This window comes from Homo sapiens, chromosome 2 (genome assembly GCF_000001405.40).
Source record: "Homo sapiens chromosome 2, GRCh38.p14 Primary Assembly".
NCBI lineage: Eukaryota > Metazoa > Chordata > Mammalia > Primates > Hominidae > Homo > Homo sapiens.
This window is the reverse complement of record NC_000002.12, coordinates 46,170,451-46,188,203: the sequence shown is the minus strand read 5'-3', so window position 1 is coordinate 46,188,203 and position 17,753 is coordinate 46,170,451. Positions and strand designations below refer to the sequence as shown.

General features: G+C 45.8%; 1 protein-coding gene across 18 annotated transcripts in view, besides 2 other annotated features; it reads right to left on the bottom strand.

Moving 5' to 3' along the window:
- Positions 1-213: 213 nt before the first annotated feature.
- PRKCE (protein kinase C epsilon) overlaps positions 214-17,753 on the bottom strand; it is a 536,712-nt gene continuing 519,172 nt past the window's right edge. For all 18 annotated transcript variants that reach the window (XM_005264428.2, XM_011532980.4, NM_005400.3 and 15 more), the window contains one exon: positions 214-3,469. In XM_005264428.2, coding sequence (XP_005264485.1) covers positions 3,323-3,469 — 147 coding nt within the window. In that variant the 3' untranslated portion in view covers positions 214-3,322. The remainder of the gene's footprint in view (positions 3,470-17,753) is intronic.
- Positions 8,456-8,956: an enhancer, noted in NCBI's record as "H3K27ac hESC enhancer chr2:46406387-46406887 (GRCh37/hg19 assembly coordinates)". NCBI's record gives its function as "activates a minimal SCP1, AML or CMV promoter by ChIP-STARR-seq in primed H9 embryonic stem cells {active_cell/tissue: H9 hESC(primed)}" and the evidence as "EXISTENCE:reporter gene assay evidence [ECO:0000049][PMID:30033119]".
- Positions 16,360-16,942: an enhancer, noted in NCBI's record as "NANOG-H3K4me1 hESC enhancer chr2:46398401-46398983 (GRCh37/hg19 assembly coordinates)". NCBI's record gives its function as "activates a minimal SCP1, AML or CMV promoter by ChIP-STARR-seq in naive H9 embryonic stem cells {active_cell/tissue: H9 hESC(naive)}" and the evidence as "EXISTENCE:reporter gene assay evidence [ECO:0000049][PMID:30033119]".

Below are 17,753 nucleotides of genomic sequence, written 5' to 3'. Positions count from 1 at the left end.
TATTCCTTCTGACAGCCCAGAAGCACAGAGGCAGGGGGAATGTGCAAATATGGTCATTTGCAGCTTTTGTGCATCTTCCAAGGAGAAAGGAAAGCTGAAACCACGTTTAGGTTTGGAAATTTTTGAATCTCTAACATATAAATGGCAAAAAGCTTCATTAGTGCCACTTTGCCACTCACAACGGAGATGAAAAATTCTTATTGGCACTGAAAATAAGACTTAACGTCATTGTATTTATTAGGTTCTGAAACAATACACATTCACATCCTTTTGAATACAGTACATTTGGCACAATAACGTTTACAATGAAATAACACTAATGAATGGCAAGAGATTAAAATTACATCCAGAAAGGAAAAAAATGTACAAATAAAGCATCACAATACAAAAAAAAAAAATCCTAAAATTGAATACATTTTACAGTTAGCCAGAATTATTTTGCACATAATTTAAAAAGAGGTAATTTTTTAGCCTTCTTTTTTTTTTTTAAAGCAAGAATGCATTGTTTTTTCACCTTTGGAGGAAAAAAAATTATGTTTCTACTTCACAAAGTCCATAATGAGAGAACACAGAAGAACAGCTATCCTTCATATATTTTTTGGCTTTGTTTTTTTTGCACTCCCATTTTTTTTTTCTTTGAGAGAGAGAGAGAAAGAGAAAGGGGGTGGGGCTGGAAAGATCAGAAAAAACTGGCAGAAGTGTTAACAGTGTGTCTATTTTCAAACTCTCGTAAAAATGAAAATGAAACAATGATTACTCAACGAACACGCAAGCCTTTTTCTATAGACCTTTGCTGGATTTAAATCAGCCTATGTGAGAACTTCACCAGCCAGAGGCATCCCAGCCAGCCCAGCTTTGGGTGCTGAAAAGGGCCCTTTCTGGGACAGACTGACTGGCTGCCTTCAGCTGCCAGGTGGAATGTATTATTTGACTTCCCAGCAAACTTGCCAGTTGTCCTGTAGGAAAGGCCCAGTTCCCACTGCCGTGCAAACACTAGGCCCTCGGACAAGGCCATCTGGCATTGCGGTTAGAGCTTGCTTGGTTGTCCAAAGTTTATTATGGTGAAGAAAGCAGAAGAAAGAACAGTAGTTACACATGAATATGATGGGCAGTATTATCATGTCTTCCTAAAAAATGAGATGATGCCACCGTAAAGATGTTTCTGTGCTTGTACTCAACTCCAGAAGATAGTCTCTCTCCAGAATGTCAAGTTACCGAAGATAAATTAAATTAATCTCATGTTCTTCATCATTCACTGGTATGCCAAACACATGAATTGATATATCATAATATTTAATATTTGCAATTATCTTAAGAACAGATAATAATTACACCTGAGTTTTTAAAAAATAAAAACAAAAGAGAACTGAATGTCATCATTAGTAACAAAGGCTATGACCAGCCAGATGCAAATATGGACACAGACTCTCTAATGGGCTCAAGATAGTTACTGTCCGAGCTTTGAAACCACCATCAAAAACATTCCTTTCTCTCCCCCATCTCTATCAGGGTATAATAGAGCACAGAAGAACTGTATGTGAGATTTAATATAGCTTAATATATGTTTACATCTTTTAAAATAAACCAAAATGAAATAAACAATACAAAGAATCCCCAACACACCCCCCCATCCCCCATAAAGGAACACACCTATCTCTCGGTAACTTGAACCAATAGACTTACAGAGTATTGCACCTGGACATTATTATAATTATTCTTTCATAGACTAAAGTTTTATAATATGCCTGAACATGCAGCAGTTGATACCTCTATATGCAACGAATTAATTCCACAGGCCTTGCAGCAAACACTATATACAAAAATCTCAAATGTACAAAAGGCAAAAGCTTCATTAGTGCCACTTTGCCACTCACAAGTATATATATTTAGGGGCAGCTGGGAAATCCACGTGCAATAGTTGGAATGGATTCCATTCCCTGCTAAATCAGTTCAGTAAATTAGGTAATCAAATGACCTCTGGGAAACATATACACAAAGCCACAGAGAACCCTTGGAAATGAAAGAATAACACTGTTAGCATATCTACAGGAGGTAATGTCACATCCCTTCAATAGTGTCCACATGAGTTGCCATTGCATGTCACACAGAAACAAAACTGAGTACATCTTGCGACATTGTCAGTTTTCTAACAAGTTGCTCTTCAGTTTCCAGATACCCTTTGTATAACCCATGTTTAGCCTCATTCTGCTTATTCCAAAAGCAGATATTTCGTATATAACTTTACATGTTTAATGTTTAAAAACCACAACACAGTAGTACTACCATTTTGTATAAGTGCGCAAAAATAACACACTGCTGCAGAAAATAAATAGTGTTTATGCTAGGAACTTAGGATGAAACTGGAAAGAGAATCTGGGAGCTGAGCTTTGTTGGAACCCCAGGGTCCTCGCCTTTGTGTCCAGGTAGAACTTGAATGATGAAGAATGCTACTTGTTGCCTTTTCTCTCAATTCATACAGCTCTCATGTGTCACTCGGGCATTGACAGCATCCACCTTGGACGACCGGTTTCTCATTTTTTATTAGCCCTTTAATATCTACCTGTATTCAGACTGGAACTCATCTCTTTTGGCCAATTAGAAAGTGAATTTGAAAATATATTTTTCAAATGTTAACAGAGTTCAAAACCCTGTTTCTTTTTCCACAAAGAGGATTTCTTCCACAAGACACAAACTTACATGACTTTGGCATGCTGAAAAGCTAAAACCAAAGCAGGCAAGAGTTAGCCATTCCAGAGCAAACCAACCCAGCTGGCCAATCCCTGCATCTCTGGTCTCCCTCCCTCAGAGGGCATGCCTCAAGGGCGCCCTCCCTCGTGTGTGCGGAGAAGCACCAGTCTCTTCTCCAGGACAGAAGGGCAGGGATGGCAAGCTGCGGTGCAGGAGGGAAAAGAAGCAAGAGGGATCAGGATCTGTGTCCGATAGCAGAGCCGGAGTCTTCTTGTTTGCTTTCTTTCTTTTTTCTGTTCTTTGCAGTAAAAGAACTGAAGTTGCTTCACTGCCAGGAGCCCCTGAGGAGTGGAACCAGGCTTGCCAATGGTCCAAACACGGCAGTGTATACAGCTAATTGCTGACCCAATGAGTCTGCATTACTGGTGAGACAAGAACCGAGAGCGCCTTCTGGTCACCAGGTGGGAGGGGGAGGAGGTGGCCTGGGGCAAGGGAATGCAATAAATAGACAGTGGACATGGGACTGGGGCTCCGAGGAGGAGAAGTAGTTCAAGACCTGCTGAGTGTCTCCAACACAGGAGTCTTCTCTGCACCCCTTCTTGCAGCATCGGCAAAGTCCAACTGCAGTGGGCTCTCAGGGCATCAGGTCTTCACCAAAGTAGGAGAAACCTTTGAATTCCTCCTGGTTGATCTGCTTTACAATTGCTTCGTCCACAAGGGTGAGTACCGGCTCTTCCCGGGTAAAGTCTTGGTCAAAATTATTGACGTCTCTTTTGGTTTTCTGTGGGAAGAAAAGAGAAAGTGGTGAGTTGAGGCTGCTCTCCCTCCTGAGGGCCCCCCATGGGGAGTGGGCACCGCACTGACCAGCCTGTCACCAAAGCAGGCCTCTAGCTACCAACAGACAGCAGACACGGGGCTGTCCCGATGAGGTAACGATGGATGGCCCCAGGACCCGGAGGTGAGAGACGAGGAGAGGAAGAATGAGTCAAGGTGAGAAGGAAGAAGGGGTGAGAGGGTATGATGGAAAAGCAGGGAAGTGGGATTCCCACAGACGTGTGTGTGTGTGTGTGTGTGTGTGTGTTTGTGTGTGTATGATGCAAAGGTCCCATCTCACACCCTCTTTCAGCAACTGCTGTAACCTACTGGCTCCATTACAACATTCCTCCCTGTGACCCAGGGAACAGATCTGAATCCCCTCTCAGAGGTCCTTCTTCCCCATAACCCGGCCACATCTGCTCCAGGTGACATCCTCTCCACAAGCCTGCCTCGATTTCCACTTACTCTCACCACGAACCCAATTTTGTGCTCCAGTATTTTTTCAATTATTAAACTCAGCACATTGACTTGCAATGACGTTTTTATGCTTTTGTCTAGACCAAGAGCTTCTTAAAGGCAGAGACCTTGTCTTGTTCAACTTTGAGTTCCCAGCAGTTCCCCAGCAATAAGTGTCTACTGAATGAAATAAGTAAACTCACCACTGACTCCCCAGCTCTGAAGGACCCATACCTCTGGGTTGAAGTTCCCAAGGTACAACTGTGTGCCTTATGGTTCTTGGGGGGTGGGGTGGAAGGGAGCAATCAATCAACCCACAAATGAATGCTGGTTTTTGGAGAAAATCAGGAAGTATAAGTAATGCTCTCTGCCTTTAGGGGCTTAGAGTTGAGTTCAAGGGGTCAGTAGTCCTGTGTAGAACACATCGCTTTAGTTAGAAAAATTTCCATGGAGAAGTTGGGATTTGGGCTAAGACTTGAGGAATGGGTGACAACTGTACTGGTAGAAATGGGAGGGAGGCACCTTGGCAGGGAGAAGGATGGAACAAAGGCAGGGAACAGGAAGACAAAAGATGCATACACAGGGCAGCGGGTTCACTAAGCTGCAGGGGCAGAGTGCGGCATGGGGATGGCGGGAGTTAGGGCTGGAGTCCAATGGCAGAGGCCTTCAATAGCAGGTCCCCTCTCCCCCACAGCACAGAGCACAATGCCCAGAAGATTAAAGGCAGGGACTCCAGCAATACTTTTTTCAGACACTGATTAACTGGTATTACCCAGGATTAGTGACTTGGATGATGGAATAAATCTTGTGGAAAGATTCACATTATTATTTGTAGGAGAAATAATATTAATATATGCTATGCTCTGTGGAAACCACTAACCTAAAGAAGTTAATAAGTAGTCCATGAAAAAAGCAGTTTTGACATAAAGCCATGTTTTCTACCCTGCTCTTGGAGATTTGCTATGCACATTGGCAAGTTAGTCTCTGAGAAATTCTAGAGTGAGGAAATCTAGTTTGCTTTGTTTAGGCTAGCCTTCCTCAAACTTGACCTAAAACTTTTTTGTTTTCCTAAATAGTTTATGAACACCTCTCCTGAGAGCAGGGTCTGCAGAATGCAGTTTGGAGAATGTTGGTTTACAGTTTACAAAGAATCTTTGCATTTATTCGCTCATTTGATCCTCAGAACAGGCTGGTAACATCCTGATCCTGCAGATGAGGAAACTGGCTCAGAGAGGTTTGTTGACTTTCCCAGGGTCACTGGACTGGGTAAGAGCAGACCCAGAACTCATGTCTGGGCTTCAGTGTGATGCCTTCCACAGTGGGTAAGGTCTGGAAATCTGGACACGGGAGAAATTGGAAGATATAACAAGAGTCAAGTTCAACCAGGAGACATTTTGGTAACACCACTAGGCAAAATAAAGCCGGAAAGGCCTGCCAGTAGGCAAGCATGGGTGGAGACAGCTGTGAGTCCGGGAAGATAGTGGGTAACGTGGGCCGGGTGAGCTGCGCGGGGGACTGTTTTCAACTCGTCCCAGGTTGAAATCAAAATCACAAACAGCACGGAGGAGGGACAAACTGATTTCTACCATCTTTTAGCACCACCAGTCCTGCCTGGTGTCTTCTCTCTGGGCTTGAGCTGCATAGGTCAGCAGGTCTCAGAGACCTTGGAAGGGGGAAGGGGGGGACACACAGAAAACCCAAGGGATCCCCAGAAACAGAACCTATAGCTGAGGGGTGTCCATGATGCCCCTGAGATGGGAAAGCCGGGTGGTTTGGTCACCTCTGCCAGGAGGGCTGGCCCCCGGCAGGAGGACCATCTGTTCTCCCTCTCCAGTGTGTACAGAACAAGAGGAAAAGGAGGGCCCTGCTTGAGAGGGAAACAACAAAGACCATCCCCACGGTGACGCACACTGACGCGGGAGGGTGGCGCCTGGGCAAAGGGTGTGGCGACACCTCTTCTGAAGATCTCTGTGGAAGGGGGAGGGATTCACTGACTGGGGAGGATTGCAGGCTATGGGCCCTCTGTGCCTGGCGAAGTGAGTCAGTCCAGAGGGAGGAGCGGGCTGGGTAGGCTGTGGCAACAATTAGGGAAGCCCTGGGTATCATCCCAGAAGGCAAGCCAGGAGCATCCACGCCGGGGGAGCTGGAGCCGAAGGGGATAATGGAGTAGTAGGGGTGGCAGTAAGGAGAAAAAGAGAGTCAAGGAATAGGGCAAGAAGAATATTCCATTTGTAACGTCACTAAGGACGAGCCTTGCCCAGGTATGTGGTAGACCGGTATAATCCAGGCAGAGGGCTGGCTGTACAAGGCGTGTAGGCAGGAGATGCCTTCACCATCTCTCCTAACTTGGCACTCACCACACTGAGGAGGCTCCCTCTTTTCAACTAATGTATGATATAGTGACCGGGATTCTCCAGGTTTCAGAATCATCCCCAGCTCCCTCCCAGATGGCTGCTAATGAGGGGAACCTGTGTATGAAGAACTTCAGAAAATCTGTAAGCCCTCTGGCACTGGCTCTCCCCATTTACCTGATTGTGTTTCACCTGTTGGTCATTAGTGTCTGTTAATCATGGAAGCTGGTTTCATTTCTTGAGGTCAACTGAGCATAGTGGTAAAGCTAGATCCTACAGGATGTCTGAATTTCACGACTTGCTGTTGTGAATCAGGGAACCAGGCTCAGTCAATACTGCTAGTGGTGTCATTCCAGAGGACCTTAGCTCCATGGTGGGCTATCTTGGAGAGCCATTTAGCTCAGCTCTGAGATTCTTGAGGTTCCAGAATCATCTGTGGCATTTGAGAGAGTATGCCATTCTTCATGATCGTTACAGACTTGGCTCACCCATCTCCTTATACAACTTGGCCCCTACCCTACTTTACTTGGAGACATTTCAGGTGCATGTGAGTTACCCATTTCTAATTCAAATAACCATCCCCACTATGTGCAATCTCTAACTGTTAACAGTAGAGGCTTGGGAGTTTTCCAAAGCAAACATCTCTGGGAAAACCCATCCCCTATTAATGGTATGTAGGCAGCACAGCATCGTCAAATTTGCAAAGAACTGCAGATTATATTCTTTACTCGCTGATTTTATTCTTTGAAAAGCTGCTACCTCCCGCACAGAGCAGGCACTGGACTCGACTTAAAGATTCTGAGGGGCAGGCTCTCAGAGACACTTGTTTATCCTGATCCTCAGTCATCCCTGCCTCCCCTAATGCCTAAATGTCAGGCTCCTGGCCCCCACTGCAGAGCCTGAGAGATGACAGTGGGACACAGGGAACAACATTCTAACTCGCCAGTCCCTTCCTAATCCGTGAAGCCTTTTCTACAACCTTTGGCCCACACTTAGGGAAGGCTGAATAGAGTAGGAGGAAGATCACCGGCTGAGCTCATTCTGGTGCCATCCTTTCCTGGTTATTGACGCTGTGAAGTTAACCTCTTTAAGCCGTGGTCTTTCCATCTGTCACACGGGGGTGGTAACAGGCACACTATAGGTTTCCTTGAGGACTGAGTGAGATGTGATATTAGGTTCCTTCTGCAGAACCTGGCATACAGAGTGCACTCAATAAATGATAGCTCCCATCATGCCTTCAAATCTTAGCATTCGTGTGCCATGGGCATGCATCATGCACAGCTTGGTTGTTTCCCAACACAGTGCATGGTATCTGCCCATCAGTGAGTTTCCTGAAGTTAGGGGCTGAGTCTTACCTTTCTTTCTGTGCCTCCAAATCCTGAACTAGGACTGAGCCTGGGCCTGCCTGAACATCCTAGTGCTTCCTCCAGCAATTGAGATGCTTCATTGCACATCACGGCTTTTGGGGTAAAGTCCTGAGTTCTTTCGCTCACCTGCTTCTGAGGCCCTTCAGGAGCTTGTCCTTGCCTCATCCCCCAGGTTCATCTCCCTGGCACTGCCCAACCATGGGGCTTCCTCCTGCTTTCTCTTGCCTCCAGCCTTGCATAGCTAGCCCTCTACCTGGAATGCCCTCCCCTATCCCTGCCTTCTGCCCCACATCCATGCAATTTCCCCACCTCCATGTACATGCCCTTTCTTCAGGAACCCTCCTCATCCCTCCAGGGCTGCTTGAGCAAAGCTTCTTGTGGGTGCCCTCACCATCTCTCCTAACTTAGTACTCACCACACTGAGGAGGCCTCTTCTTTTCAACTAATCTATGAGCTCCTTGCAGGCAGAGACTGGGTTGAACTCACCATTCTATCCCCAGCCTAGCACAATGCCTGGCACATACTGCATACTCCATAGATATCTGCTAGAAAAAATTAATAAATGCACCTCTCTTGCTGCTACTTTATCTAGAGCCAGTAACGTGATCTGGGTTCAGGGTCAGGGGCTGCTGTGCTGTCAGGGGGTGTTTTGATTTTGGGAAGTGGAGGCAGGGAGTTGGGGGGGATGGCTGTAGTCTGATTCATGAAGGGCCTAGAGCCAGGCATCCCAGACCATCACTAGGCCCATGGGGTCTGCAAAACAGGTAGGCTTAGGCCCAATTAATGAAATTTCTTCTCCCAGGACTTGGGGCACTAGAGTTTTCTAATTGCTGACACAAGATAGAAACAAACAGGTTCGACCAGGGTTTGGGAAAATTCCATCAAGACAGATATGTTTAGGGACTTTGTGGGTATGTCTGACCCCTGTGGCTGATGTTAGAGGAAAACAACATTCCGATTCCCTCTGGCATCATTTCAGAAATAAGGTCTTAGATTTGAGAAATCTGGGACTGACTCTGGGGGAAGGGCACATTTTTGGTGTCTGTAGTCAGGAAGGGAGGAAATAAGAGTTTCAGGTCAGTCCAGATCCCTCTCAGAGACTGGGCCTGCCTCAGAGCTCAGGCAGCTCTGAGGCCTAGAGACTCAGCGGCTGTGGTGGTGTTGGGAGCCCAGGGCAGAGGTAGGCAGGCAGCGTCAATGCTTACTTCCTGTCTGGCCAGCACAATCTCTCACAGCCCTCACTGTGCTGACGTCATAAACTTGAGCTTTCGGAGGAGCCAGCAGTGTCTGCTTCTGTCTTCATCTGATTCCCAGGAGATCAACAGATGACTTTGTTTTAAAGCACTGAGAAAACTCCCTGATCTTACAGGCTGGGGCATAGGGCTAGCTTTCATGTGGCTGCCTTATTGGTCCCTGCCTTCCCCCTTAACTCTGCTTGGCGTGACAGCAACAGCACAAGTAGCATAGTGACCCCAACCCAGAGGTCCTCTGCCTCATGGGGTGTGACCTGAACTGAGACATGCTGTCTCTACGTGGTCTCCTAAATGCCAGCATCCTTCTAGGTCCCACGTGAGGCTCCTTCTTATGACTTCCGTAACTCCAGTCTCCTTCCACCCTGCCCTCCTCCCGGCTCCTATGGCACTGTCTGGATCATGCATTTAGCCCCTTCTGCTATTTCATGTGTATTATATTCCCCATCATACCCCTCAAGGTACCTACTGCAAGGCAGGGCACACAGCAGATACTTAACGTTCATTGGCCGGAAATAATTTTAGTCACTATAACAGCCAAATCCCAAGTCCGTCCTAGCTTTGAAATGTCCATATTCTTGTCTATGCTCCACTTTTCTCTTTTAAATATTCTAAAAGAAAAAGAATTTAAACAATTAGAACACTTCCTCACCATTAACTAGATCCTCATATAGATACATATATTCTTCATAGCCATACATTCGAATTAAAAGAATATATGTGTATATGTTTACACACACATACTGATGTGTGAAGTTAAATGAAATAAGGAAGGTATCACTGCATAGTGCCCTGCCTGGCAAAAATGAGAATCTAACTCTCAAGTTAAAAATTTCTCTAAACATAATCATCTGTCATCCCTTCTTCCTCTTTATAATTTTGTTAGCCAAGAAATGTTCATACTTTTGGATTTTCTTTACAGTAAACAGGTCAAAATGTATAGAGGGGTCATCTGGCACTGGACTGCCCATGGAACTTTCTACTGGGAGTCCATGGCAGTGCTCTATTTTTTTTTGAGACAGAGTTTCGCTCTTGTTGCCCAGGCTGGAGTGCAATAGCACAATCTTGGCTCACTGCAACCTCCGCCTCCCGGGTTCAAGCAATTCTTCTGCCTCAGCCTCCTGAGTAGCTGGGATTACAGGCATGTGCCACCACGCCTGGCTAGCTTTTGTATTTTTAGTAGAGATGGGGTATCTCCCTGTTGGTCAGGCTGGTCTCGAACTCCTGACCTCTGGTGACCCACCTGCCTCAGCCTCCCAAAGTGCTGGGATCACAGGTGTGAGCCACCATGCCCAGCCATTTTTTTTTAAATCCATATCCTTGGTAGTGGCCAGAAGTGACTGCTCAGTTCCTGCCTCTGCGGTCTGAACAGTGCCAAGTGCAGTGGTGTTACTTTCTACTTGGCGTGAACCCTTAAATTACATTAACATTGTCTAAGATAGTATCAATGTTTTATAATTTCTTAAGTAGCTATGAGAAAACATTGACACTATCTTAGTTGTATCAATCCAATTTTACCATGTTATGAGTTGAATTGTGTCTCCCCAAAAAGATATGTGAAGTTTTAACCCCCAGTACCACAGGATGTGGTCTTATTTGGAAATAAGTTCTTTGCAGACGTAATCAAACGAAGATGAGGTCATTAGAGTGGGCCCTGATCCAATATGACTGGTGTCCTTATAAGAGGGGAAATTGGACACAGAGACAGACATGCACAGAGGGAAGAGACACAGGGACATATGTGTGAAGACTGAAGCTGTGTGGCACGAGCCAGTGAAAGTCTGTGGCTACCAGAGCTGAAAGAGGCAAGGAAAGATTCCTCTGTAGGTTTCAGAGGGAGCAAGACCCTGCCAACACCTTGATTTCAGACTTCTAGCCTCAAACCATGAGATCATAAATTTCTGTTGTTAGATAAGCCACCCAGGTTTTGGTACTTTGTTATGGTAGCCCTGGGCAACTAATACAAACTCCAATCTTATTTTTCTGAAATTGATTTAAAAAAATTTTTTTAAGTATATAAAGTAGAGAGATGAAATCTCGCTGTGTTGTCCTGGCTGGTCTTGAATTCCTGGGCTCAAGTGATCCTCCCACCTCAGCCTTCCAAACTGCTGGGATTACAGGTGTGAGCTACCATACTCGGCCTGAAATTGGTTTTTAAAATCCAAACGTAATCCTTTACACTTGATTTCTTCTTATTTTGGGACATATTTCTAGCCTGTCAAGATCACCATGATTCTGCAACTTACCTCTCTGAATCTCAGTGTATTTACCTAGGAAGTAGAGATAACAGACATACCTAGCTTTCTGAGGGTTATAGGTAAAGCTCAGATAAACCCTAAAATACAATGCAAATGCCATTTTAATTCTATCATCCATCTTATCTGCTGTATCCTCCAGCTTTATGTCATCCTAAAATTTGATTGGCATGCCTCCTATCTCTCTGTTGGGACACTCATGCAAATATTGTTTAGCACAGGATCAGGACCAGAGCCCTTTGACCTGGCCCCTGAAACAGCCCTCTCACATAGGTGACATCAAGTCCCACCAGCACTCTTTGGGGTGTGGTTGTGAAATTCATTGAGAAGCAACCAGCCATGGTCACTGTTTTCATTTTGCTCAGTTGCTTTGCTGGAATAAAGATACAAATGGCTGAGCATTTCTCTGCTGGAAATGAAGTTAATTGCTTCAAGTGATTACTACTGCCCCCTAAATGTCCACAAACTATCTTCTCATTAAGAATTTATAGAAACTTCCTTTAATAATATCAATTTCAAAGTGTCCTAAGTTCACATTTTCCCAGTTTCTGAATACTGGGAGACGGTTTGCCTTTCTCCTATCACTTGGTATCATTACTCTATCCCATCATTTCCAATTTACCAAGCAGTAGGCAGAGCAGATTCTTCCGTAACCTGGAATGTAATTCACCTGGGCCTACACTGGAGTCACCTGGGGGAGCTTCAACGCACGGAGCTGCTCGTCCCACTCTAGGGATTCTGTTGAACTGCTTTGGGATCTGGTCTGGGCATGGAATAATAGGGCTCCCCAGGTGAGCTTTATTAAATGTAATTTGCCTCTCTTGGGTTTCAATTTCCTCTTAGTGGTTTTCACCCTTATCTTTGTACTTTGGAGCTATTTCTCTTTGGGGAAAATTGGAGGCAAAATAACAGGTCTGCTTTTTGCCATTTTTTAACACAGTGGTTCTCAATCCTGGCTGTGCATAAAAACCAAACACAGCCATTTAGACACCTGAGAGTCATCCTAGACCTGATGAATTGGAATCTCCAGACGGTGAGTTTTTAAAGCTCCATAAGTGATTCTGGTGGGCAGCCTGGTGGAGTCCCTCCATATAAAGGCCGTGGGTCTCTTTCTTTCTTCTTTTAACAATTTCAAAAGGCCTGTTTTCATTGTTGTCCAAAGGCTTTTTCAGGAGCCTAAGACCATACTAGATTTGGCCTCCTCCAACACATAGCAAGTTCATGCTATATACTGGCATTCCTTCTCAGCTTCATGACTTCTTGGTCTATTTTATATTGGTATTTATAAAATCAGGACATCTGAGAACTCTCATGGAATCAGACTGGTTTCTTTAAATGCCGATCTGTGAGAGGTAGCTTAGTGGCTTAGCCTTCATGCTCTACAGCCAGACTGCCTGAATTCCATGCCTGCTTCTCCAGTTACTAACTTTGTGGCCTTGGGCCAATTATGTAATCTCTGTGCCGCCATTTTCTCATCCATAAAATGGGGACATTAGTAGGCCTTCCCATATATTTGTTATGAGGATTAAATGAAAGAATACAATCAAGTGGCGAGAACAGTAGGTGACATCGAGTAAATTATTGGCATTGTTCCTTCCTCAATATATCTAAGATCACAACTGTATGGTTAGAACAAACAGAATTGTCTTTGGGATGATCCAGGAGAGAACTTTCTATTTGGTCTCAGTTCACAGAATAATCATTGTTTCACCTAGGCCACCTGTGTGCATTTATCTCCCCTGCACATGAAATCTAGAACCAATTAGTTTTCACTGGAGGCAAATAGCCAAATATGTGACCCACCCAAAAGAACATTTCTGATGCTTTTTTGCCTTCCTGTGCTGTTTTCTCTTTCTTTCTTTTCGCTGACATTACATTCATAGTAAACTTTATATATACTGGTGGGACATCTTTAAACTTTCTGGAATAAGAAAGGAAAAACAAGGAAGGAAGGATTTTAGAAAAACAAGGAAGGAAGGAAGCAATTTTAGCCCTGCTGGCTAAAATTGCAGGCTGTAACACCAGATCTCGGCTGGGCGTGGTGGTTCATGCCTGTAATCCCAGCACTTCTGGTGGACAAGGTAGGTGGATAGCTCGAGCCCAGGAGTTTGAGACCAGCCTGGGCCACATAGTGAGACCCTGCCTTTACAAAAAAATACAAAAATTAGCCAGACACGGTGGCACGTGCCTGTAGTCCCAGCTACTCAGGAGGCGGAGGTGTGAGGTTGGCTTGAGTCCAGGAGGTAGAGGTTGCAAGAGAGCCAAGATCATATCACTGCCCTCCAGCCTGGGTGACAGTGCCAGATCTTATCTCAAAAAAAATTAAAAAGCATCATATCTCCTTTTCTCTCTAATGAGTGGGGCATGTGTGTGTCTTTGGGTGTCTGTGTGTGTTGTGTGTGGCATGGGGGAGCCTGGGCGCACCGGGAACTGAGGAGCCCAGCAAGCTGAGGGCTGCATGCCTCACCAGCTGATGCCACCTGTCGGGGACACCGACCCAGGGGTCCCAGGTCTTTGGAGTTGCCACGAAATGCCCCAATCTACATTTTCACTTACATCTCTTTTTAAATGTTGCCTACTAATTCGATTTTAAAAAAGTTATCTCCTGGCTGAATGGGTCTCACAATCCTCCAGTTTGCGACCTTTACATCATTGAAAAGATTGCTGCTTCCACCTTTTAAGGGAGAAGAAAATGAAGACCCACTTGCTTTTTAAGCACGATGGCACAGATGGCAGTTAAAATGGGAGGCCACTTGGCCCACCATTCCCCAGCCCAACGGAAAGGGTCCTGGCAGCTAGGTGGCCCCTGTAGTCGTAGGGACAAGCTGCCCAAGCCTCAGGCTGGGCCTCACAGGCCCCTTCCCCACAATCTCATTGGTTTCCTCGCTAAAACACTTCTGAGGGAAAGTTGCTTCATTCCTTTGGAGGCAGTCAGTAGACACACATATCTATTTTCTAAATGGACCAAATTCTCTCAGACCGCCAGGCATTCTGAACAATCAACCACAGCTGAATTCTATCAGGTCTGCTGTTTGACGGAATTCAACTATTTCCCATCTCCAGTCTCATTATTGTTTGCTAAACTATAAAAAAAAATTTGTTTACAAATTCCATGTGAGAAGTTACTTTAGGAAAAAAGAAAACTCTACTTCAGGTATTAGCTAACAGCAAACCTCCTCCCCTACACTCAGCAAATAGAGATCAAAGGAGTTCAGCCAACTATCGTTTGTCTGGGAATTAGCTGGGGTCTATAGACACAGCTTTCAGGGATTGCCATCACAGAGGCAAGCAGGTGTCCCTGTTATAAAGAAGTTGCCACCAAACTTCTAACATGTGTTATGATGCTTTGAAACAAAACTTCAGGGCAACTACCCGAAGGTTCCTTTGGAAGGCAGTGCCAATTCAGAAACCTACAGAAGAAAGGGAGGGCCCAGGACAGAGCCCCTTCCTGGCTCTTGCTCCTGCGAAACTGAGGAACATGTTCCTTGTCTGCTATTGGTAAAGTGAGAAGCTTTTCAAGGAGACTTTCAATGCTGCTTCTATGTCTAAATTCCACGGCTCAATCATTTGTAAGCAAAAGTAAGGAATATAAAGTAAGCTTCTTAAATGGGGTTCCCACCCCTGGAGCAAGGGTTGCCATTTTTTTCTGTGAAAGGCCAGGTAGTAAATATTTTAGATGTGGTGAGCCATATGGTCTCTGTCATAACCACTCCGCTCTGCCACTGTAGCCCAAAAGCAGCATGAACTTGTGTAAATGAATGACGGTGGCTGTGTTCCGATAAAACTTTATGGGCACTGATGTTTGAATTTCATACAGTGTTCATGTGTCATGAAATAGTATTCTTCAACCATTAAAAAAATGTTGAAACCATTCTTATTCTAGGGCTGCACAAAAGCAGGTGGTGGGCTGGATTTGGCCCTGGGCTGCAGTTCGCAGACCCCTGCCTCAAAGGATGGCTTCAGGGTTTCCATGAGCCTGGTAGAATATAGAACAGTGTACTGTGTTTGTGACACCTTGGGGTTTTCCTGGAGACAGAGTTTACTGTATCAGATTCTCCAAGGGGGTAGTGATACCACTAAGTTAAGAACCACTGATTTAAACATTTCCATTATAAAAAGCCTGGCTTTCTAAGTGGTACAATAACTGTCTCTGAGGAATCCACATAAAGGAGAAAGCCCTGAGAAGTATTTTCAGGACCTGAAGTGTCCCCTTTTGCTTAAGTCTTTCAGACCACAAGGGTCCCCAGCACAGGGCATCCCCTCTGGACTTAGTGACTATACAGTGCTCTGTGGGGAAGGCTGTCTCATGTAAAAATGGCTGAGAACACTCCCCCGGATGTAGACTGTGTATCTAAGCCTCTTTCCAGAGGTGTCTTCTAAGTGCAGGTGAAGTCAATAGTCTCAAAGCGTTAGCTCCAAACACATTATGTCTCCATTCTTGTTAGTGAAGGAGGCATTTCTGGGCAGTTCTGAGGGATGGCGCTTATTCCTGCTCCTCAAACCCTCCCAGGGCCGCCCAGGCACGCCCAGGCCCGCCCAGGCCTGCCCAGGCCCACACCTATACACTCCTTTGGCTGTGACACGTTGATTCTGAAATTTGGTAACAAAAATATAAAGTATACATTCCAGCCACATGGGGCCACCTGATTATGGATGAGTCCACATTGTCCATCCAGTGCACACTGGCCCCAGATGACATCCAGTCTGGGATTGAGGAATGGCCTGGATATGTCGCTAAGTGCCCCAGGAGTCTTGGCTCCCGCAAGAGGCTGGCAGTGCCTGGGGGGAAAGAGGGCCTGGCGCTTCTGACACTAGCAGGGCCCAGCTCAGCCTGGCTTTGCAGGCTCCCAGCTAATGGAATGAACGCTGCAGAGTCTCTGGAGGACGGCAGAGAGCCACAGCCATTCTCTCCACCGTTGAGCCCACTGGCCCTCCAAGAGTCGAACTGAGAGGATGCTGCACGTGAGCTCTGAAACCATTCCTGAGGCCACTCAAGGGACGTGTCTGCTGCTGCTGTACAGCAAAGGAAATGCCTCTTCCTGGGGGAATGATCCCCAAACCAGGCTAGTCCCCTCCTATATATACCTTGACCCTTGTGCTGGGGTTCTGTTTCCTGGTACTCCTCATAACTGGAGCTAAATGATGACTCAGTCTGAGGTGTCTTTTCCACTGGACCGGAGCTCCACATGCGCATCTGCCTTGTGTTTTTAGCACCAGCTCAGTGCCTGGGACAGCCTTAGCTTCTTTAGGAGGAAAACATAACAAAGCTGCAGATGGAGACTTTGCCAGTGCTTTGATGCCTTCAACACCCGGCTCTTGTAACCTCACACCCACTCCACAGGGAGGAGAGTGCTGTGATCACATCTCCATTGTAAAGATGGGGAAATGGGCTCGGAGGCATTAGACGTCTTGTCTAACAGGCAGGCTGGGCAAGAGGTGGGGTCAGGACTTGGAATCAGCTTGTTCTGACCCCGAGGCTGTGCCCCTGGCATGTACTATCCTGCCTCCCATGATGAACTGCCGGGAGGCATCAATGCAGCCATCTGCACAAAGACACGCAGCACTGTGCCCAGCATAAGCTGCCAGTTCAATGGTTTCTGTCAATAGCGGTGTTGCTGTGTTAACATCAAACAAACAACTGCATTCTGCCGTGTACCCCTCACAGTGCAAGAGGCCACCATCACCACCAAGTCTTTTGGGGTTATTTCGTAGACATTAGGGGCACCCCAGGAGATGCCTGGGACAGAACACGATGTAGAAAATGCTGTGTGGCTATCCAGGAATAAAGAGCCTTAGGAGGAGACAGTACCCTGCCTGCCCTGGCTTGCCTGGGGCCTGAGCTTGCTGAGCCAGGCCCTGCAGTGAGCTGGCCCCCCGCAGCAGGATGTGCAGTGGCAGGACCCGAGCCTGGCGATGCAGCAGGAGCCTGTGTCTCCAGCTGGAAGTGGGTAAGAAAACGGTGGCAACTTGGACTCATTCTGCTTCTAACTGGGGGACCTTTTTCATTTATCATCTACTTTTTAAAGCCGTCTTATTGCTGACAGCTGTTGGGTTTACCATTCCAGGGACATTTTTGGTATCCAAAGAAGAAACTTTCCAATCTGGCCCTGGCAAAGGCCCAGTTCCTCCACTTACCAATCTCTCCCCCACTTATTTAGGAAAATGTTCTAGATAGAGATCAGTTCTCTTGGCCCAGGATTTATTATTGCACTGCCTGTGAAATGGGAACTGTAAACATTCTAATATGTGCCTCTCAAGTCAAGACGAGGTCACCCACCTTCTCTCACCATTCAACAATAATTTCAAGTTTCCTAATGCAGGATCTTATGACCCCAAATTCCCGGGCATATACTGGAACTGATCTTGAGCCATAAAAGGTGAGAAGAGAATTTTGAGATAGAGCTGAAAAAAACACTGTATATCTGGGGAATTCATTTGTTCATTCCACAAATATAGATTGAATACCTACTATGTGCCAGGAATTGTTCTAACTGCTGGGGATGCATTTGTGAACAAAACAGATGTAACTCTCTCCCTTGATTGCTAATTGCTAATTACTGTGCATTGCTA